Source organism: Homo sapiens, chromosome 10, assembly GCF_000001405.40.
Source record: "Homo sapiens chromosome 10, GRCh38.p14 Primary Assembly".
Lineage (NCBI taxonomy): Eukaryota > Metazoa > Chordata > Mammalia > Primates > Hominidae > Homo > Homo sapiens.
In genome coordinates, this window is record NC_000010.11 from 90,445,426 (window position 1) to 90,465,404 (window position 19,979).

The following is a 19,979-nucleotide window of genomic DNA, read 5'->3' on the forward strand; positions in this document are numbered from 1 at the left end:
TATTTTAAGTTCAGGGGTATCATGTGCAAGTCTGTTATATAGGTAAACTCGTGTCGTGAGGGTTTGTGCAGATTATTTCATCACTCAGGTGTTAAGCCTAGAGCCCTTTAGGTTTTTTCCTGATCTTCTTCCTCCTCTCACCCTCCACTCTCAGTTAAGATTTCATGTTTATCCTTAGAATTTAAACTGGTAATATCTTACTGTCTTTTCAATTCTTGTGTGCTCTTGAACAATTTTTATTTTTTAAATTTATTTTATTTTTATTCTTTTTATGGAAAATTTTTATTGATACATCATATTTTATATATTATACATTATGGGTACAAGTGATATTTTCTTACGTGCAAATTTCTGACTTTTTGGTTTGATCTTCTAAAATTGAAAAACTGAAATCCTGAATGAAAGGAAACTGAGACTTTATTTTGTTAACTTTCATTTTAAGTTCAGGGGTACCATGTGCAGTTTTGTACGTAGACTTGTGTCATGAGAACTTGTACAGATTATTTCATCACTCAGGTGTTTATCCTGGCACCCATTAATTATTTTTCCTGATCCTCTCCCTCCTCCCACCCCCCACCCACAAGTAGGCCCCAGTGTCTCCTGTTCCCCTCTATGTGTCCATGTGTTCTCATCATTTAGCTCCCACTTATAAGTGAGAACATGTAGTATTTGTTTTCTATTCCTGCATTAGTTTGCTAAGGATAATGGCCTCTAGCTCCATCCATGTTTCTGCAAAGGGCATGATCTTGTTCATTTTATGGCTGCATAGTATTCCATGGTGTATATGGACCATATTTTCTTTATTGAATCTACCATTAATGGGCATTTAGGTTGATTCCAGGTCTTTGCTACTGTAAATAGTGCTGCAGTAAACATATGCATGCATGTGTCTTTATGAAAGAACAATTTATATTCCTTTAGGTATATACCCAATTATGGTATTGCTGGGCTGAATTGTATTTCTGTTTTTAGCTCTTTTAGGAATAGCCACACTGCTTTCCACAATGGTTGAACTAATTGACATTCCCACCAAAAGTGTTTAAGCATTTCTTCTTCTCTGAAACCTCACCAGCATCTGTTATTTTTTCACTTTTCTATAATAGCCATTCTGACTGGTGTGAGATGGTATCTTGTTGTAGTTTTGATTTGCATTTCTGTAATAATTAGTGATACTGCATATTTTTTCATTTGCTTGTTGGCTGTGTGTATGTCTTCTTTTGAAAAGTGTCTGTTCATGTCCTTTGCCCACTTTTTAGTGGGGCTGTCTTTTTTCTGGTAAATTTAAGTTCCTTATAGATGCTGGATATTAGACCATTGTCAGATACATATTTTGCAAGAATTTTCTTTCATTCTGTAGGTCATCTATTTACTCTGTTGACAGTTTCTTTTGCAATGCAGAAGCTCTTTAATTTCATTAGATCCCATTTGTCAACTTTTACTTTTGTTGCAATTGCTTTTGGTGTTCTGTCATGAAATCTTTGCCCATTCCTATGTCCAGAATGGTAATTGCCTACGTTGGGAATGACAGAATCTTAATAACAAATGGAAGATGTTAAAAAGCCATAGATAAAAGAAAGATTACTTTCAAAGAGGCAGTAGTTAGACTGTGAGGTAACTTCTCAACAGCAATAATAGAAGTCAGAAGACAGTCAGTCCAATGATACATTAAGTTGGCTGGAAGGAAATAGACAACAACCTAAAATTCCAAACCCAGGAGAAAATATATTTCAAGACTGACAACAAAATGAACATTTTTTCAGGCAAACAAAACAAGAACTCCCCCCTCACCAAAAGGAAACATACAATATGCACATCAAGTAGAAGGAAAGCGATCCGGGATGGAAGATCTAACATGCAAGGAGGAATGAGGAACAAATATCAGGTGGTAATTATGCAAACTTGTCATTACCCTTGTTCTCTGTTTTTCATTGTGGCTGTTAAGAAATTTCTATTCCTTTGAAGTCAACTGTCCTTATTCTCTGGATAATTTTAAGACTTCTCTTTGCCATTGTTGTTCTGCAGTTTAGTTATAATACTCTTGAGTGTTGATTTCTATTTATTTATTTTATTTGCTACACATCTGGCTTCTTGAATTTGTAGATTAATGTGTTTCAACAGTTTTGGAAAAGTTTCTGCAATTATCTTCTTAAAAATGTCCTCTGAAAATATTGTCAACACATTATTGTGTGATGCATGATCAGAAAAAGTACATGTATGCAGAATATATTAAGAACTATTAAGTATGTAATACAACAATCCAATAAAAAATGAACACATGATTTGAGTAGACACTTCACAAATGAAGATATATGAATACTCAATGTGTATATGAAAAGTCATCATTAGTCATCAGGAAAATTAAAATTAAAACACAATTAAATACAACTACACACTCATCAAAATGACTAAAATTAAGAAACTAACCACATACAGTACTAGTGAGTATACAGAGTAACTAGAACCCTCATACTCAGTTGGAAAGAATATAAAATATTAGGAACACATCGGAAAACAGCTTGGCAGTTTTTTTTAATTAAATAAAACCTTCCATATGGTACAGACACTCCACTTCTTGGCATTTACCCAAAATAAATGAAAGCATATGTCCATAAATACTTGTGCGGATATTCTTAGAAGCTTTATTTGTAACAGTGAAAAACTGGAAACAATCCAAATGTCTGTCCATAGGTGAATAAAGAAACAAATTGGGGCATATCAATGCAACAGGATATTACTCAGTAATAAAAATGATGAACTACTTATCCAAACAGCGATATTGATGAATCTCAGAATCATGACACAGAATGAAATAAGCCAGATTGAAAAAAAAAAAAAACCTACATACTGTATGATTCCATTTTTATAAAGTTGTAGAAAAAACAAATGAATCAATAGTGACAGAAATCAGATAAGTGGTTGATTGCAAATAGAGGAAGAGGGAGGACTAGATTACAAGAGGCATGAGAAAACTTTTGGGGTTTTGGCAATGTTTGATATCTTGATTGTAGTGATAGCTTTATGGGTATGTACATGTGTCAAAATTCGTTATTGTATGTCAATTATACTCAAAGACCTTTTTAATAGCAAAAAACAGAACCAGTCGCAGAAGATAAATAAAGTTGGGGAAAGGTAAATTATGGAATTATTTGGTTTTACTAAATTACCCATCCTCAGAAAGTTAAATGATCAATGAAAACCTTTCAGGCATTTTGGAAGCAATTATTTTCTGAGAGTTTGACACAGTCCAGATATTCTGCATACCAGACAAGAGATTTCTCATGAACAATCATTTTTCAAAACACTAGGATGTCTTAAGATTCTATTACTTATATTCAATCTATTGACATAAAATTAGAATATCTCTTCTACCTCATTTTGCATAAAATTGCCAGTCCTTTTTTTGAAGCAAAGAAAATTATTGAAGCAAAGAAAATTGTCCATTATCCTAGATATCCACCATCAATTATTTTTTAAATTTAGTTGTCTTTAAATACCGATTTATAAAAATAAATGTGATGTTTGTCAATTCAGTAGATCAATAAATTGGAAGGCTGATTATATATTCAAGCACAGTTAACATATTATTTGTTTTCTCTTTTTAATAGGAAGAATGTTTTAATTCAAAAAAAGCATCATGTGAAATAGGTGTAGTGCTTCTTTTGAGCTGGTACATTTTGGTAAGCTATAATTTGGTAATTATAATTCAATGTCTTAAACATTAAATTCAATTGTTACAATTTATTAAATAATGTTCATTTTCATATAACCAATATTTTAAAATAGGTTTAGCTTTTGTTTACATGTGTGATATTGTAATACAGCAATGATATGGTACACTGTAAATGTTAAAAATAAATCATATTGCGATGTTGTCAGATATATATGCACAGATTACATAGTTCATGTCTCTTTATAATGGCAGAAAAATTATAAATAACCACACTATAAATTTGAATGCAAAAAGGAAATTCCAATGACTTTTTCTCTCTATTATTGCCTTTTGGAAATTCAATTAAATGTGTTAGAATTTCTTACTTTGTCATCCATGCTTTGTAAACTCGTCTCCATACTTTAATCTTTTTGTCTGTGTTGCATTTCCAGTAATTTCCCCTCATCTATCTTCAAGTTTACACATTTTATTTCAGGTTGTGCCTAAGTTACTGTTAAGTCTACTCTTTGAGTTTTTAATTCTGTTTAATGTAATTTTAATTTATAGAATATCTAGTTGGTTGTTTGAAATCAATTTGGTTACTTTTTATTTTTTCCTTTTCCCTCTAGATGTTTTCAAGACGTTCTTTTATTTGTTTAGAAATATAAGTGTTTTGTAATAGATGTTTAGTAATTTTAATATTGGAATTTGGCCTTGCCTGAAAAATCTAGACAAGGGCAGGTCTCAATTTTTCTCCCTCCCCTGCTCAATTGCAAGGCAAGCCTTTTAGGACTCAGAGTTGGGTGAAAGTCAGCCTTACATCCAGGTCACTCTTGTTCTGTGTATATTGAGCTATTTGGGGATCCCAGCTTAATGCAGGGAGAGTGTTCTATTAGACTTCATATCTGGGTTCTAGAATTTTATTTTTGTTTCCTTAACCTCTTGTGGCTGTTTACATCAAAATTCAGGTTGGCAAATTACCTCCAGGCAAGAGCAATTCTGATGGTCAGTTTACTTTTCTGGGTTTTCACTCTTCCTTCAGTTTTTAACCAGATAATTCTTTGCTATTTTACCAGCTTTTTGATAATTTTAACAATATATATTTTTAAATGTCTTCAGCAACTTATCTTTTCGGTGTAAAAAAAAATTATTTTTGGTATGGTGGTGGGGAGGAAATGGCAGGCTAAGCTAAACACCTGGCCTGTCACTAGAGGAAATTGAACCTTGCAATTTGTTTGAACAATTTTTAAATGTAACAGACACACACACACACACACACACAAACAATTTATATTGATTGGCTTATTTTGGGTATTGATGGAGTCACTTGTGTGATTTATCTGATACATCAATGAAGACAGTTATAAATAGAAGAATAACAATTTTCAATCAGTTATTTGTTGTCAAACATGGAACATTTGACCATTTACAATCTGAGAGTAAAACTGCACAAGAGAAACATCCAAGGAAATTAATTCTCTTTTTAAGGTCATCTATAAATCCAGTCCCCATAGCAACACAAGTACTTATCTAGATTCCTTCCTTTACACTATATATTTTGCCTAGTCATTTCTTTTGCAATTAAATTAATTGCTTCATTGTTAATCCAACTTTCACTCTCTGTCCTTTCAAAACATTTTAAAAACAAGCTGATGAATGGAAAAGTAAAACATTGTTGCAGAGCTAGTTATTTATAAGCAAATAAAATCAATTGTGTCTGAAATGTCAATAATGTATAAATAAGCATGTTTCTAAATTTAATTGTTAACTTTTATAAGATGAATGGTAGCAACAACAATGTGATCTGTTATTTATTCTTCCTGAGTCAAACTAAATATTTTACATAAATCAGCCCCTTCTGGATAATATTTACATTATACTACAAATATTGACAATGACTAGAATTTAATATTTTAAAAATACTCATCCAAACATACAAATGCAGGGATGGGTGGTTATAACTGGATCAGTAGTTGTGTCACTCCAAATCACAAATCTCTTGTTTTCCCTCTTGCTAATCTCTACTATCCTCCCTCTTTAACCCATGGCTATGAAAAATAACAAAAGGAGTAGTTCAAATCTTCAGATAGTTCTTTCTGGTTTCCTTGTAGCTATATATTTTAATTTGCCTCAGACTTCTCCAAATCAGTCTAAGGAAACACAAAGTGATATAAGTACTACATAGATTAGATTTAGATATAGAGGTATAATCTTTTCCCCCTACAGAACTCCAAACATGCTATTCTCCATTTAGGAATGTAAAGCAACCCACAATCGTCTGAAGAAAGATACAGAACTCAAGAATTCATATAGTCAAAAGCTGGACAGATCTGGATTCAAATCTGATTAACTGTGAGACCTTGGGCAGCTGTTGAAATTCTGCATATCAGTCAGAGGTTGGTTAGAAAAACAGAATATGCTTGAGATTTCAAACTGAAAGGGATGTAATACAGAGATTGGAAAGTTACCAAACCTTTGGGATGAGTGATAAAGCAAGGATCAGGGAAGTCATTGCTAGTGTTCAAAAAATCAGTATGAATAAGAATCACAGGAAACTGCCACTTCAGAATATAATGACACAAGGAAGTCATTCATCAAATCTTACCTCAGTTATCTCTGCAGTCCACGTGTTCATGCCACTGACTCGGGAATAATAGTGGCTTCTCCTCTTGCAAGCAAGCTTGTTGGCAGAATATATAAAGTGGCAACTTTCTGGTAGAAATAAATTCTAAGGATATAATACCCTGGGTTTTCACCCTCTAAAATACAAGAAAAGAGAAATGGGAGGAATGTTGTTAGATTTCCAACAAAAAATCTAGCATATTCTAGATAACCCAGTGTCTTCAAATAAAAAAATACTGTCAAGACTAAATCAAGATTGTGGACTGAGCATTTGCTCCAATATTCCTTCTGCATCAAATCCCTTAAAGTGAGAGAAAAGGTATATATGCAAACATGCATACATATCTATTCAGATATAGATGATATAGATAAATATATAGATGATATAGATACTGATAAAGCATAACAGGACAGGAACACAGAAATTATGAAGTCTTTAAAAGATAAAAAGCTGACAAAATCAAATTGATAACAACTATGACAAAGTCATATCAAACAAGTTCAAGACCATATCACTGCAAAGACTGAAAACAGATTCTAAATTGGATTGAAGTGAAAAAGCAGAAAAGTGGCCCAGAAAATCATTAGGGTAAATTAATTAAAGAACTGAAGTCAAAAAAATGAGACCAGACCTCATCACCCTTGTGATATACAATAGACAGCAAGTTTTTGATGGGTTTTTATCCATCTGTATTTGCAATGCTATATTATTTTTTTCATTATCACTTTTTAAATACTTTTTGTATAATTTAATAAATTTTGATATTATATTTTGCATTATCTGAGTTTCTTGTTTCAGCATCAGTTAATAGAATTTTTTAAATGTGATTTAAAAATGTGTGGCATTGCTTTTGATAGTGATTACATAGTTAAACAAAAACATCTTTTACCTGTCATAAAGCTTTAGTTAAAAGCTACTGGGGGGCAGCGTTTCACAATTCAAGCAAAAGGGATGTGTATGTGTATGTGTATATACATATATAGAAATATTTTTATATATTATAAATTATATATAAACATGTATATATTCTGATACATTTATGTACAATTTTAAAATAATTCAAATTATAGTCCAAAAATAAAGTCAGAATAAGCTTTTTTTTCTTCTTTTTTTGAGACAGAGTCTCGCTCTGTCACCCAGGCTGGAGGGCAGTTGAGTGATCTTGGCTCACTGCTACCTCCACCTCCCAGGTTCAAGCAATTCTTCTGCCTCAGCCTCCCAAGTACCTGGGATAACAAGTGCCCACCACCACATCTGGCTAATTGTTCTATTTTTAGTAGAAATGGGGTTTCGCCATGTTGGCCAGGCTGGTCTTGAACACCTAACCTCAAGTGGTCCACCCACCTTGGCCTCCCAAAGTGCTGAGATTACACACTTGAGCCACTGCACCTGGCTAGAATAAGCTCTTAAAGAAAATTAAAGATTATATAAGAATGACACATATACACTTTAGTTTGATTAGCTCTTAATACTATTTCAAGACTATCTACTGTGATGCTGGTGTACAATTTTCTTGAATTTAGATACAAAGGGGAGACATAAAAAGGGGCACAGCCCTAAAGGCATTAGCAAAAGATACAAGGGCTCTGCTTCCTGGAATTGTGTTGTATAAAGTCAGAACCTCCTGGAAGCAGGTGCCAAGACAGGATTAATGATGAAATGGTGTTTATTAGGAGAAATGCTTGTGAGAAAAAAATGGAAAGGAGCCAGGAAGGGCTGGAAAGGGCATCAAACCACGATGCAAGCTTGGCTTTAAGTGAAGGAGAGAGAGGGAAGGAAGTCGGGTAGAAGTGTCCTAAATTATCATGCATCTAAGAAACGTTTGTCAAAGCCATTGGGGAATACTCAGCTAAAATTCAGCCGAGAGGAGGCTTGTGAACCCTCAGGAATGGAACTATATTAGTATTGCTGCCTGGCTCAGTGGTTGGCTGAGACGCACATATGGGAAGCAAGGGCAAATGCATGATGGACTCAGATGCAGAAGTTGATCTCTAGTCGCTTAGGTTCCCCGAATTTGGAGGTTCGCCTTATGCATTCTCATGTCCATCACATAAAGAAAGGGACAGTCTGCAACAGCAGGATTGCTTTCTAAAGAACGTTTTCTTTGGGGAGTACTCTGAAACCTTTCTTCAAATGATGACGTACTCTGAAGTTCAGGAGATAATTCTGAAGTAGACTTTGATTTTATGCGGGAGAATGTACTCTATTCCCATCATCACAGCTTGTCCCTTGGCTTACATAAATATTTTGCTCACGATTCAAGGAAGTTGTCTAAAGCAACTTAAATGCTAGGCCAAAATAACCTGTTTGTCTCTCATTAAAAAGTTTTTGTTTTAGAAGTTTTATGGGTTGAATTGTATCTCATAAAATGATATATTACAGTCCTAATACTCAGTACCTCCAAATGTGATATTATTTGTAAACAAAGTCTTTATGGAGGTTATCAAGTTAACATGAAGTCATTAGAGTGAGGACTAATCCAATATGGCTGAGATCCTTATCAAAAGGAGAAATTCAGTCACAGGGACAGACAGGTACAGAGAGAAGATGATGTCAAGAGACAACGGGAGAATGCCACATGAAGGTGGAGGATTGGAGTAATGCATCTACAAGCCAAGGTATGCCAATGATTGCTGGAAAACTACCACAAGCTAGGAGAGAGGTGTTTCACAGTGGGAAGGCCTATGCAAACCTATACCAAAGACCGAGAAAGCTGAGAGGCTGAAGAGAAAGGCTGACACAGCTACTTTCTCAGAAAGAAACATTTATTCATTTGTTATATATATACATATATATTGTTTTAAATATTTTCTTATTTTAAACTTTTAGGCTCAGGGCTACATGTGCAGGTTTATTATATAGGCAAATTACATGTCATGTCATGGGGGTTTGGTGTGCATGCTATTTCATCACACAGGTCATAAGCATAGGTAGTTTTTAGATCCTCACTCTCCTCCCACTCTCCACCCTCAAGTAGGCCCTGGCATCTGTTGTTCCCTTCTTTGTGTTCATGTGCATTCAATGTTTAGCTGCCACTTATAGGTGAGAACATGTAGTATTTGGTTTTCTCTTTCGTTTAGCTCATTTAGGATAGTGGCCTCCAGCTCTATCCACGTTCTGACAAAGGTATGATCTTGCTCTTTTATATGGCTGCATATATTCCATGGTGTATATGTAACACATTTTCTTTATCCAGTCTATCATTGAAGGACATTTAGGTTGATTCCATGTCTTTGCTACTGTGAATAGTACTGTGATGAACATGCATGTGCATGTGTCTTTATGGTACAATAATTTATATTCCTTTGGTTATATACCCAGTAATGGGATTGCTAGGTCAAACGGTAGTTCTGTTTTTAGCTCTTTGAGAAATTGCCACACTGCTACATTCCCACCAGCAGTGTATAAGCATTCCCTTTTCTCTGCAACCTCACCAATAAGTGTTATTTTTTGACTCTTTAGTAATAACCATTCTGACTGATGTGAGATGGATCTTATTATGGTTTTGATGTGCATTTCTCTAATGATTAGAGATGGTGAGCATTTTTTCATATGCTTGTTGGCTTTGCGTATGTCTTCTTTTGAAAAGTGTCTGTTCATGTCCTTTGTCCATTTTTTAATGGGATTGTTTGGTTTTTGCTTGTTAATCTGTTGAAGTTTCAGATGTTAGACCTTTGTCAGATGCATAATTAGCAAATATTTTTCCCATTCTGTAGGTTGTCTATTTACTCTGTTGATAGTTTCTTTTGCTATGCAGAAGCTCTTTAGTTTAATTAGATCACATTTGTCAATTTTGGGGTTTGATGCAAATGATTTTGGCAACTTTATCATGAAATCTTTGCCAGGGCCTATGTCCAGAATGATGTTTCCTAGGTTATCTTCCAGGGTTTTATAATTTTAGGTTTTACATATAAGTTTTTACTCCATCTTGAGTTGATTTTTGTATACTGTTTAAGGAAAGGGTCCAATTTCAATCTTCTGCATATGGCTAGCCAGTTCTCCCAGCTCCATTTATATACTAGGGAGTCCTTTCTCCATTGCTTATAATTGTTGGCTTCATTGAAGATTAGATAGTTGTAGCCATACGGCCTACATGATCCATTTTTGTTCCATGATCTATGTGTCTGTTTTTGTACCAGTACCATACTGTTATGGTTACTGTAACCTTGAAGTATAGTTTGAAGTGAGGTAATGTGATACCTCATGTTTTGTGATTTGGGTTCTTTTTTGGTGCCATGTAAATTTTAAAATAGTTTTTTCCTAATTCTGCGAAGAACGTCGTTGGTAGTTTGATAGGAATAGCATTGAATCTGTAATTTGCTTTGGTCAGTATGGCCATTTTAACAATATTGATTCTTCTTATCCATGACCATGAAATACTTTTCCATTTGTTTGTGTCATCTCTGATTTCTTGCAGCAGTATTCTGTAATTCTTATTGTAGAGATCTTTTACCTTACTGGTTAGCTATTCCTAGGTATTTTTATTCTTTTTGTGGTTATTGTGAGCCAGAGTGCATTCTGGATTTGGCTCTCAGCTTGGATATTGTTGGTGTATTGAAATGCTACTGATTTTTATACACTGATTTTGTATCTTGAAACTTTGCTGAAGTTGTTTATCAGATTTGGGTAAAGACTATGGGGTTTTCTAAGTATATAAGCATATAGTCTGCAAATAGAGTTTGATTTCCTCTCTTCCTATTCAGATACCTTTTATTTCTTTCTCTTGCCTGGTTGCTCTGGCTAGGACTTCCAGCACTATGTTGAATAGGAGTAGTAACAGAGGGCATCCTTGTCTTGTTCTGTAGAAAGAAATATTCAGTGGGGTCTTACAAACAGAAGTCATGCCTGTGTCTTGGGTAGTATGAGACAAGATGGTGGATCAGGGTTTATAAATCATAAGGGAGGGGTAATTCAGAAGGAATACGTAGGACAGTAGAAATCTGATAACATCAAAATTGTTTGACTTAAGGGCAAGATTTACAGTAAATACATGCTCTTACACAAGGGAATATAGATAAACTGGAAATCTCAGAGGCAATTCTGGAATAGGGGTTAATTAGAAGCCAACATGGCAGATTGGCACCCAAGATGAGTTTAGGGTTGCCCTGGCCTGCACAAGAAGTGTAGGGCAGATTCTCCTTCACAGCCCCAGAAGGAACCAACCTTGTCGACAACTCGATTTTGGACTTCTAGCCCACAGAATCATGAAACAATAATTTTTTTTGTTATTATAAGCCACCCAGTTTGTGGCACTTTGCTATGGCAGTCCCAGAAAATTAATACAGGAGGGGCTACTCTCAATGAATAAAGGAAGCAATAAAATACCTTACATAATTTCATAGAATGTTAGCGCTGAAAGCAGCCTCAGAGCAATAACGTCAAAAGCTTGATTCATATCTCACTAGCATGCTAAAAGAATCACCCACGTTGGCCACACAATGAATAAATATTCTAGTTCTTACTCTAGAATAATGGGCACATCCATATACTTACTAGTAACAAATTAAGTTTAGTGAACATTGATTTGCAAATTGGATATTTGTAAACTAAAATTAGAGCACTATTAGGATTTACTGAGTCTTCTTTTGAACAATTAATCTGCTACCTGCTTGATAAGTCTGTACGTGCAGGTTTTGAAATTCCTGAAATTTTTAGGGGGAGTTACTACTGTTAACATGTAATAAATCATAGTGAGTTAGGATGGATATGGTTTTCAATTGTTGCTCTCCTTGCATTAATGAATAGATTAGGAGAATAGTTGTTACAAGTTTTATTTTAAAAAAATATTGATCACTGGTTCTTTAATGGTTAGATGTTCTCTCTAAATCTTTTTGTAATCACTAGGTTCTTTTTCCATGGAAGACTGGGAGCAAATGGGATAGGTAGGTCACAGGACCTTGTGTCCCATCTAAGCAGGTTACTATTTTTAAAATTTGGTAAACAATCCCAGAGTCTCACTTCCACCTCTTTTCTAACTCTTTCATTTCTATTAGTGAGGAAACTAAAGACCCTTGTCTGTTTTTGACATGTGAATGAATGGTTGACTTCATCTTACTATCAAAATATTTTTTTTTGTTTTAATAAATAATTGTTGACTGATTTCAAAACAGCAGAGATTTTTAAATATAAAATATTATTTGACCCACCAAGCAATAAAGTGGATACTGCTATTGTCTCACTTATACAGATAAGAAACCTGAAGTTCAGAGACATCAAACAAGTCACCTGAAATCACATTGTTAGAGGTAACCAAGTTAAGATTTTACCATTGACAAGTTTTCAAAGTTCATGTGCTTATTCGCTATGCCAGTGTGCCTCAAATCAGGCATCCATGGACCTCCAAGGTCAATTGTCTTTTTCTCAAGGGTCTGCAAGTCTAGGTTTTTTTTCCCCCTCATTTTGGTAAATGCACAGCCTGAGGTTTAGCTGGATGAGCACCTCGCAGTTGATTACTGACAGGTGATTCCAGTATTCATATTTGCATTAGTTTTACAACCAAGTACACACCAAGTGAAGGCCAAATGAGGTTGGCTCTTGCTGATGGATGACAGGTTTCCAACAGTTTGAACAGAGAAAAAGCTGGGAGGCCTGAATCATCCCATGACAAATATTAGTAGAGTCATGCCAATTGTAAATAATCTGCACAGTAGCTATGTCTCATGAAAGTTATCTTCAACTCTAAAAATCTATAATCCTGTTGGATTACCATGCCATTTAGGGTCAGGCAGGAAATGGATGGCATAAGAAAGGAGAAGAGGACAGAGAATTTAACAGACTTTTACAAAAGTGTAAGCAAGGATAAAAAAAAATCCAAGTGAGATGGAGTAGTGCAAGTAATGGTGAGTAATGGTGAGAAGCATGGAGGGGTTGGAGAGAGAGTTATTGCTACAATCTGGGGAGAGAGATAGCTATGACCTTTAGTAGAGGGACATAACCAGGCTTTGGGGACAATAAAGAGAGGGAGCCAGAAGAAATACTACCCCGTCCTCACTCTTATTCCTGTGGAGCACCAATCTCTTGCTGGTGATTTCCACCTTTTGAACCTAACCAGAAGCCAGAGGACAAACTGCCTTTGATGTGGTTCACACAGGTTAGCTTCCCTGGGGCACACATATTGGGTTAGAGAATGCTGAAGAGTAGACCTGGTGGAGCAAATGAAGATATCCAGCCTGTTTCTATAAACCAATGATGTATTGTCTTATCCTAATAATAACATTGATGTTTTATTTTCTGGAAAGCATAAATATTTATTAATCTTTATTATTGAATGAGAATAAGATCCTAGGCACATCTTTCTTCCCACAGTTGCAAGAAGATAAAATGGCTCTATCAAGTTTTTTTATTTAAACAAAAGAGTCTGAAATTTTATGTCTCCCTTAAATTAACAAATAATATTCTCATTCATTTGCATTTCAGTTTTTTGATTGGAACATCAGGAGGCTGAGTTAAAATTAGAGTAGGCACTTGTACGTAAAAGTGTATCTTCCTTGTTAACTGTTTCAAAATAAAAGGCTGAAAATTGCTATTAGATGACAAATGATTTCACAATGACCTCAATAAAAAGTCCTTAACTCTGTTTTAAAAATTAAATTGCTCAAATGGAATGGAGTGAGGAAAGCCATACTTTAAAAGTAATTATTGAGGAAAAGACCTAGTAGTTTCAATGAACACAAAACTTGCTATGAGACAAAATATGACACAACTGATTAAAAAATTCAATGCAATCCTAGGCCAAAGAAAGGTTAAGGAACTTCAGATCAAGGGAATCAATAATTCTATGAGGCTTTGCACATTCAGTGACACCTAGAATGTTGAAACCCAGATAGAGGGATATTGGCAAAATGATAACCAGGTGATAACGGATTTCAAAACTAAGTTATGAAAACAATTTAGAGACACTAGAGGTATAAAGCCTAGAGAAGATTTAAGAAAGGTTTGATATAGCAAAAATCTTAAGCTTTATGGCAGAGGAATTAGACTGGCTCCATGTGGCTGCAGATGGCCAGATTAGGAGGGTTGGCTATAACTGGCAGGTAAAAAGACTTGGACTCAACACGGGAAAGAATTTATGGGAAACTAGAGATGTCCATGGGTAGAAAGCTGTGTCTCTTGAAGGAGAAGGCTGAAGAGGAGAGTGAACCTTAACAGTATTGAAAGATATGTAAAATGAAGTCATGGTTGGATTGAATGATTTCTAAGGCTCTGTGCTCTGTGATTTGATGACAAGAGAAGATATTGAAGCTGATGCCAGATTGGAGTAACTAGCATGGAGGAAGAATAAATTAATGAGTTTTTGATTTTAAAAAATAAATAAAAAAGAATTGAGAACACTAACCAGGAATATATCTAATGGTGCAAAAAAGAGAAATAAATAGGGAAAGGGTGGAAAAGTCCACAAAGATAGTAGAAGAGAAACTGTATTCTGAAGAACAGGGAAAGTATAGGAAGTATAGGAAGGAAAATATATATTGTACTACTGAGGGGGTTATTTGTCTGAAAAAGTACTCAAAACAATTATTTATAATGTTCACTTTATCACTTACATGTTATAGTTTCTGACAGCAGACAAACGCCATAGAGAAGGTGATGTTTTTTCTATATTTTTATGCCACCATACTTGAAACAGCATCCAGAAGTAAAAAGAAAGCAGAAAAAAAAAATGCTTTTTTTTGTCTCAGAAACACTGGATGACTATACATATAAACTGTCAAAGACCTAATTAAGGACATTAGAAAGCATATTTTTAAGCAGAACATTTCAGGTTTTCAGCATCTTTATATCTCCAAATGTGTAACAGCTGTTATGTTATAAAACCTATTCAATAACTGAAACATCACTCTTCCTCAGTAATTTTTGGTGTCACTTTAAATTGTAATGAATTCAGAAATTATTGACCAATAGTCAATTATTTTGTTATATATATGATGAACAATATGAATTTAATATCAAATAAAAATTAAAATTTGCAAGAAAAATAAACAATGTAGAATTAGATTAAAATTAGACCCCATATTGGAAATTGTAAAGCATATTTAAAAATAATGAGCATTAAAGTTGGTTCTTTCATCTTCCAGGATATGATCTGAGAGGTTGGCATTTCTTCCTTGGTCCTTGAGATAAAAGGATTCTCAACCAGAAAACTAAAGGATAAGCAAGAAAAGAGATCTTTGGGCATCTGTGACAAGATTCTTTACCCATCTTTGGAAACTTATAAAGAAAATATTAGAACAAAGAAGAATGAGGAAGGCACAAAACAGTTCCAGAACTTCTAAGCAACCAAAAGTAACTGAAAAGTCAACTGAAAATAGTAGTAGCTATTTTTTCTCATATTGTAAGAATCCAGTTAGCTCAGACCAAAGGAAACTCCTTTTAAATTTAGAGCCCACAGTTGAAACCTGTGAGGTCAACCAACTGAAAGTAAATACATGATTAAATAAGAATTTCCACAGTTGGAATTGTGTGCAAAGATGAATTTGACATAGTACCTTTCAAAAGGGCCTTTAAGACAGAAAAGCAACACAAACTCTCCTTACAGGGTTGATGACAGTTAGACAGAAACTGTATGAAACTCAGCACAATGAGAAAAGTTCATTAAAGGAAAATCGAGAAAATGATTAGTGTTGACTGTGAGCCTTGAATAATGGGCAGAATTATATCCAGTGGAAATAGTAGAAAGAGATAGAAGAGGTTTTTTAAAAAATAAAGGCACACAGCTTGAAACGCCTTGTACGCAGACCAGCCTCTTCCTCAGCACCCCAGGGAGCCTCCTGATACCCCTAGCCATGCTTTTGGATCTAATATCCCTAAATGGATATTCCAGTAACATTGATTGAGCTTGATTTAACTTGTTTCCAAAGAAAACATGAGAAATTTCCTTAGGCCAGCTGACTAAACAAGAAAATGTTTCTTCTACTGAATATTTAAGGCCACAGGAAGGTAGAAGAGTACTAAGGTCTGAGTTGCCAATATGCTATTGATACATGTTTCAAGGATCAAGGCATAGAAAGAAGGGCCACAACTCTGCTGGGAATGTAGCCTGAGCAAATAATTAAATAGATCAAAATTATTCTAAGTGGGAAAATTCGGAGTGACAAAATAAAGAGGTTCACTGAAACAAAGGAAACTATGTCACTGAAACAATGAAAAAAAAAAAAAGACAAATATATCATCCGCCTCCTTCCACACAAACGTCTCAGGCTCCAGCCAATTGTACTGAAATACACTCATTTAGTCAAACAGGATATGCAAACCATTAGCAATCAATCAAAGAGGTTGGCTGTGACAAGTCTCTGGCCCACAAAGCCAGACTTCAAATTGGAAATTTTTGTTCCCTCAAATACAATGAGTTCCCAAAACCAGACGCCTGTGGGAGGTGACTTAGGAGTACTTTTTACAGCTTAAACCTTAGCTCTAGCCCAAAGGCTAATACAGATGTGGTTGTAGTTCATTCCTTATTAAAGTCTTCAAATATACTATCTTATTTAGGGAGAATAAGCTACTGATCCAGTTCCAGGAGAACATGAAATTTAAGGTGGTTTTCACCCAGAATTAACCATTATTGTACAAAGCAAATCACCTACATCACCAGGACCCTTCTGTAGATTTTACTAGGTTGTTGGGACATGACTATCCACTGGTTATGTGAGTGGCCTGAAACCATGGCTAATTATTGAGTGCACACAGTATTCCAGGTGCTGTGCTAAGGACTTTATATGTACTATGTCATTTAATATTCTCCAGCCACTGATGTAATCTTGATGATATTCTATAGATGAGAAAACTGAGACTTAAGAGTGGCTAAGCAACCTGGGAATTCACATAGTTGCTAAATTGGAGCTTACATGGAGCTTACATCCTAGTAGGGGAATTCAGACAACTAATATGCAAGTAAATGTGAAATATGTTAGATAGTAATAAATGCTAAGGAGAAATGAAGCAGAGAAAGAGGGATGGAAGGAGGACTGTCTCTATTTTTTATAGGGTAGTCACTATTAAGATAATGCATTAGTAGGTATGACGACAAGCCTTGCAGATATCTGGGGAAATATCATTGTAGACAAAAGCAAAGGAAAATGCAGAGGCTCTGAGGGGGGAATATGGCTGATGTGTTGAGACAGAGCAAAGAAGCTCATGTAGCTGGAGCAGAGTAAGCAAGAAAGAAAGGCTAAGAGAGGAGTTTAGAGCTGAAACAAGGCCTAGATGATGCAAGACCTTGTAAATTACAGGAGAAAATTTGTGTTTTACTGTGAATAACTAGTGAGAACATTGAAGGCTCTTGAGCAAAGAAATAGTATGATCTGACTCAGGCTGTTATGTTAGTAATAGATTACAATGAAGACACAGGAGGAACAGAGAGGAGGCTGTTGTAATCTAGGGGAGAAATGATGATGGCTGCTATGATCTGAATGCTTGTGTCCCCCTAATATTCATTTATTGAAACCAAACCTAACCCCCAATGTGATGATACTAGGAGGTGGGGCCTTTGGGAGATAACTAGGCTGTGAGAGTGGAGCCCTCATGAACAGGGGATTTGTCCCTTGTAAAAGAGGAACAAGGGAGGTTGTTTTCCCTTTCCACCACCGGAGGACTCAGAGAAGAAGACGCCATCTACCAAGCAGGGAGCAGGCCCTCCTCACCAGACACTGAATCTGAAAACACTTGAATCCTGGACTTCCCAGCCTTCAGAACTGTGAGAAATTTCTGTTGTTTATAAGCCATGCAGTTTTTGGTAATGTATTGTAGCAGCTTGAACAGACTAAAACAGTGGCATAGACTAAGGTAGGAGCAGCAGGGATGGTGACAGTGGGTCAATTCTAGATACGTTATGAAGGTAGAAAGGAAAAGGTGTGATGGTTGCTCAGAAGTCAAGTGTGATGAAAACTAGGCTGGAGGCTGACTTTAAGGTTTCTGACTGAACAATAGGAAGGATTTATTGGCATGCAAAGTTCAGGACAGGAGGAGGTAGGAGGCAGTTGGAAATTAGGAGTTTGATTTTGGGCATGATAAATTTGTGCAGTCTCTCTAAGTTGATTAGGCAAATGGATATAAGGTTTTAGCATTTAGGTAAGCATATGAATTAAAGATATACATTTTGGAATCATATGTGCATAGATAAATAATATATAAAGTCATATGTCTGGATGAGATCACTTTTGGAGTGAATGCAAATTAAGTAAATAGATCTGAGAACTCAATTCATTGGCCTAAGATTGGCAATAATATGTTTATCACTAGGCCCATCTCATCAGATATATGACTACCACTTCCCATAATGTACTTGAAACTTCTCTACCCACCTGGAAAACTCACAGACTAGCTCTCAACTATGCTTTGCCTATGAGAATCCTCACCTAACATTTAAAAATGTTGAGACACATGCACACACACACACAACATCCTTCTGTTGAGAACTGTTAGAGATTATCTCACTGATTCTGTATTTTGGCAAGGTCAGGGCAATGAGGAAGAATCACTGAAGGATACTGAAAAGGAGCAGTGAATTCAGAGAACTAAGAGAGTATGTGCCAGGAGCCAACAGGTAAAAGTGTTCAAAAATGAGAGAATGAACCATTGTATCAAATATTCCCGATGCACTGATAAGAAAAAGATAAAGAAAATCTGATTGGAATGCATCCAGGAGAGAATGGGAAGAGAAGAACAAAAGATAAAAGAGTCAAAATGACTGCTCCAGTTTATACTCCCACTAGCAGCCTTTAAGTGATTTCTTACGATTCATAGCAAAAGAAAAAACCCTCCCTCTAAGGCATCCCTGCATATGGTGCCACTGAAAAATGTCTACATATCCTTGACTTCTGACTTATACACACCCATTCTGCCTAGAGCACAGCTTCAACTTGAAATAATGTCCTGTTTTCTTCCTATTCTTCAGCCATTAATTACATGCACCCAATTACTCCCTAGCAGTAATCAAATCCCTCTAAGTCATTTATCTTACAAGAGTTACCCCCTTTGTGTATGCTGATTAATTTTATGTTTAACAATGTGAAGCTGCTTCACTCTGAGATTATCTAGATTGAAACATTACCTACTGCATTTTTCAGTCTTGCTTAGTTAGACACAGTTATATCAATCCAATCATACTCATTTGTTGAAAATGAGGGTATATTATTTTCTCTATTTTCACAGTGAATCACAATTCTTGATGAACATATTCCTGGCAAGGCACAATTCTAAAGCCTATTTGAATGCCTAATAGCATTTTAATCTGTTAGATGGTTGATTCTTTCAGTAGCAATGAAAACCTTTCGTAATGTCAAGAGGAATACATTGATTTTAAAAAATCGTTTTAGCCCTCATTTCCCTCAAAACTTTATGCCTGTTGGGGATATGTTTTCCTATTCCCATAGGAATTAATAACTAGGACCAGATCTCAATTGTTTAATCATGACTTTGTTTTGCAAAAGAGGAAACTGAGGTCCGAATTTTGTGTGTATCAAGACATGTACAATGGTGGGTAATTCTGTGACTCCGGAGGCAAACTGCATGCATTAGAACTCTGCCTCCATTCTCCTTAGCTGTATCACTTGGATCAAGTACTTCTCATCCATTGAATGGGCACAGAAATGATGCTTAGCTTATAGAGTTGCTGTGAAATTGAGTGAAATGATGCAAAGCTTTTCATATGGTGATTGGAACATAATAAGCATGCAATAAATATAGTCTCTTCTTACATACTACACAGAAAAG

The 19,979-nt window shown here is 35.4% G+C and overlaps 1 long non-coding RNA gene across 1 annotated transcript in view; it reads right to left on the reverse strand.

The window, feature by feature from the left end:
- LINC02653 (long intergenic non-protein coding RNA 2653) overlaps positions 1–19,979 on the reverse strand; it is a 138,285-nt gene that overhangs the window by 42,905 nt on the left and 75,401 nt on the right. The window contains exon 3 of the long non-coding RNA NR_110657.1: positions 6,255–6,408. This is a non-coding gene — a long non-coding RNA (long intergenic non-protein coding RNA 2653). The remainder of the gene's footprint in view (positions 1–6,254; positions 6,409–19,979) is intronic.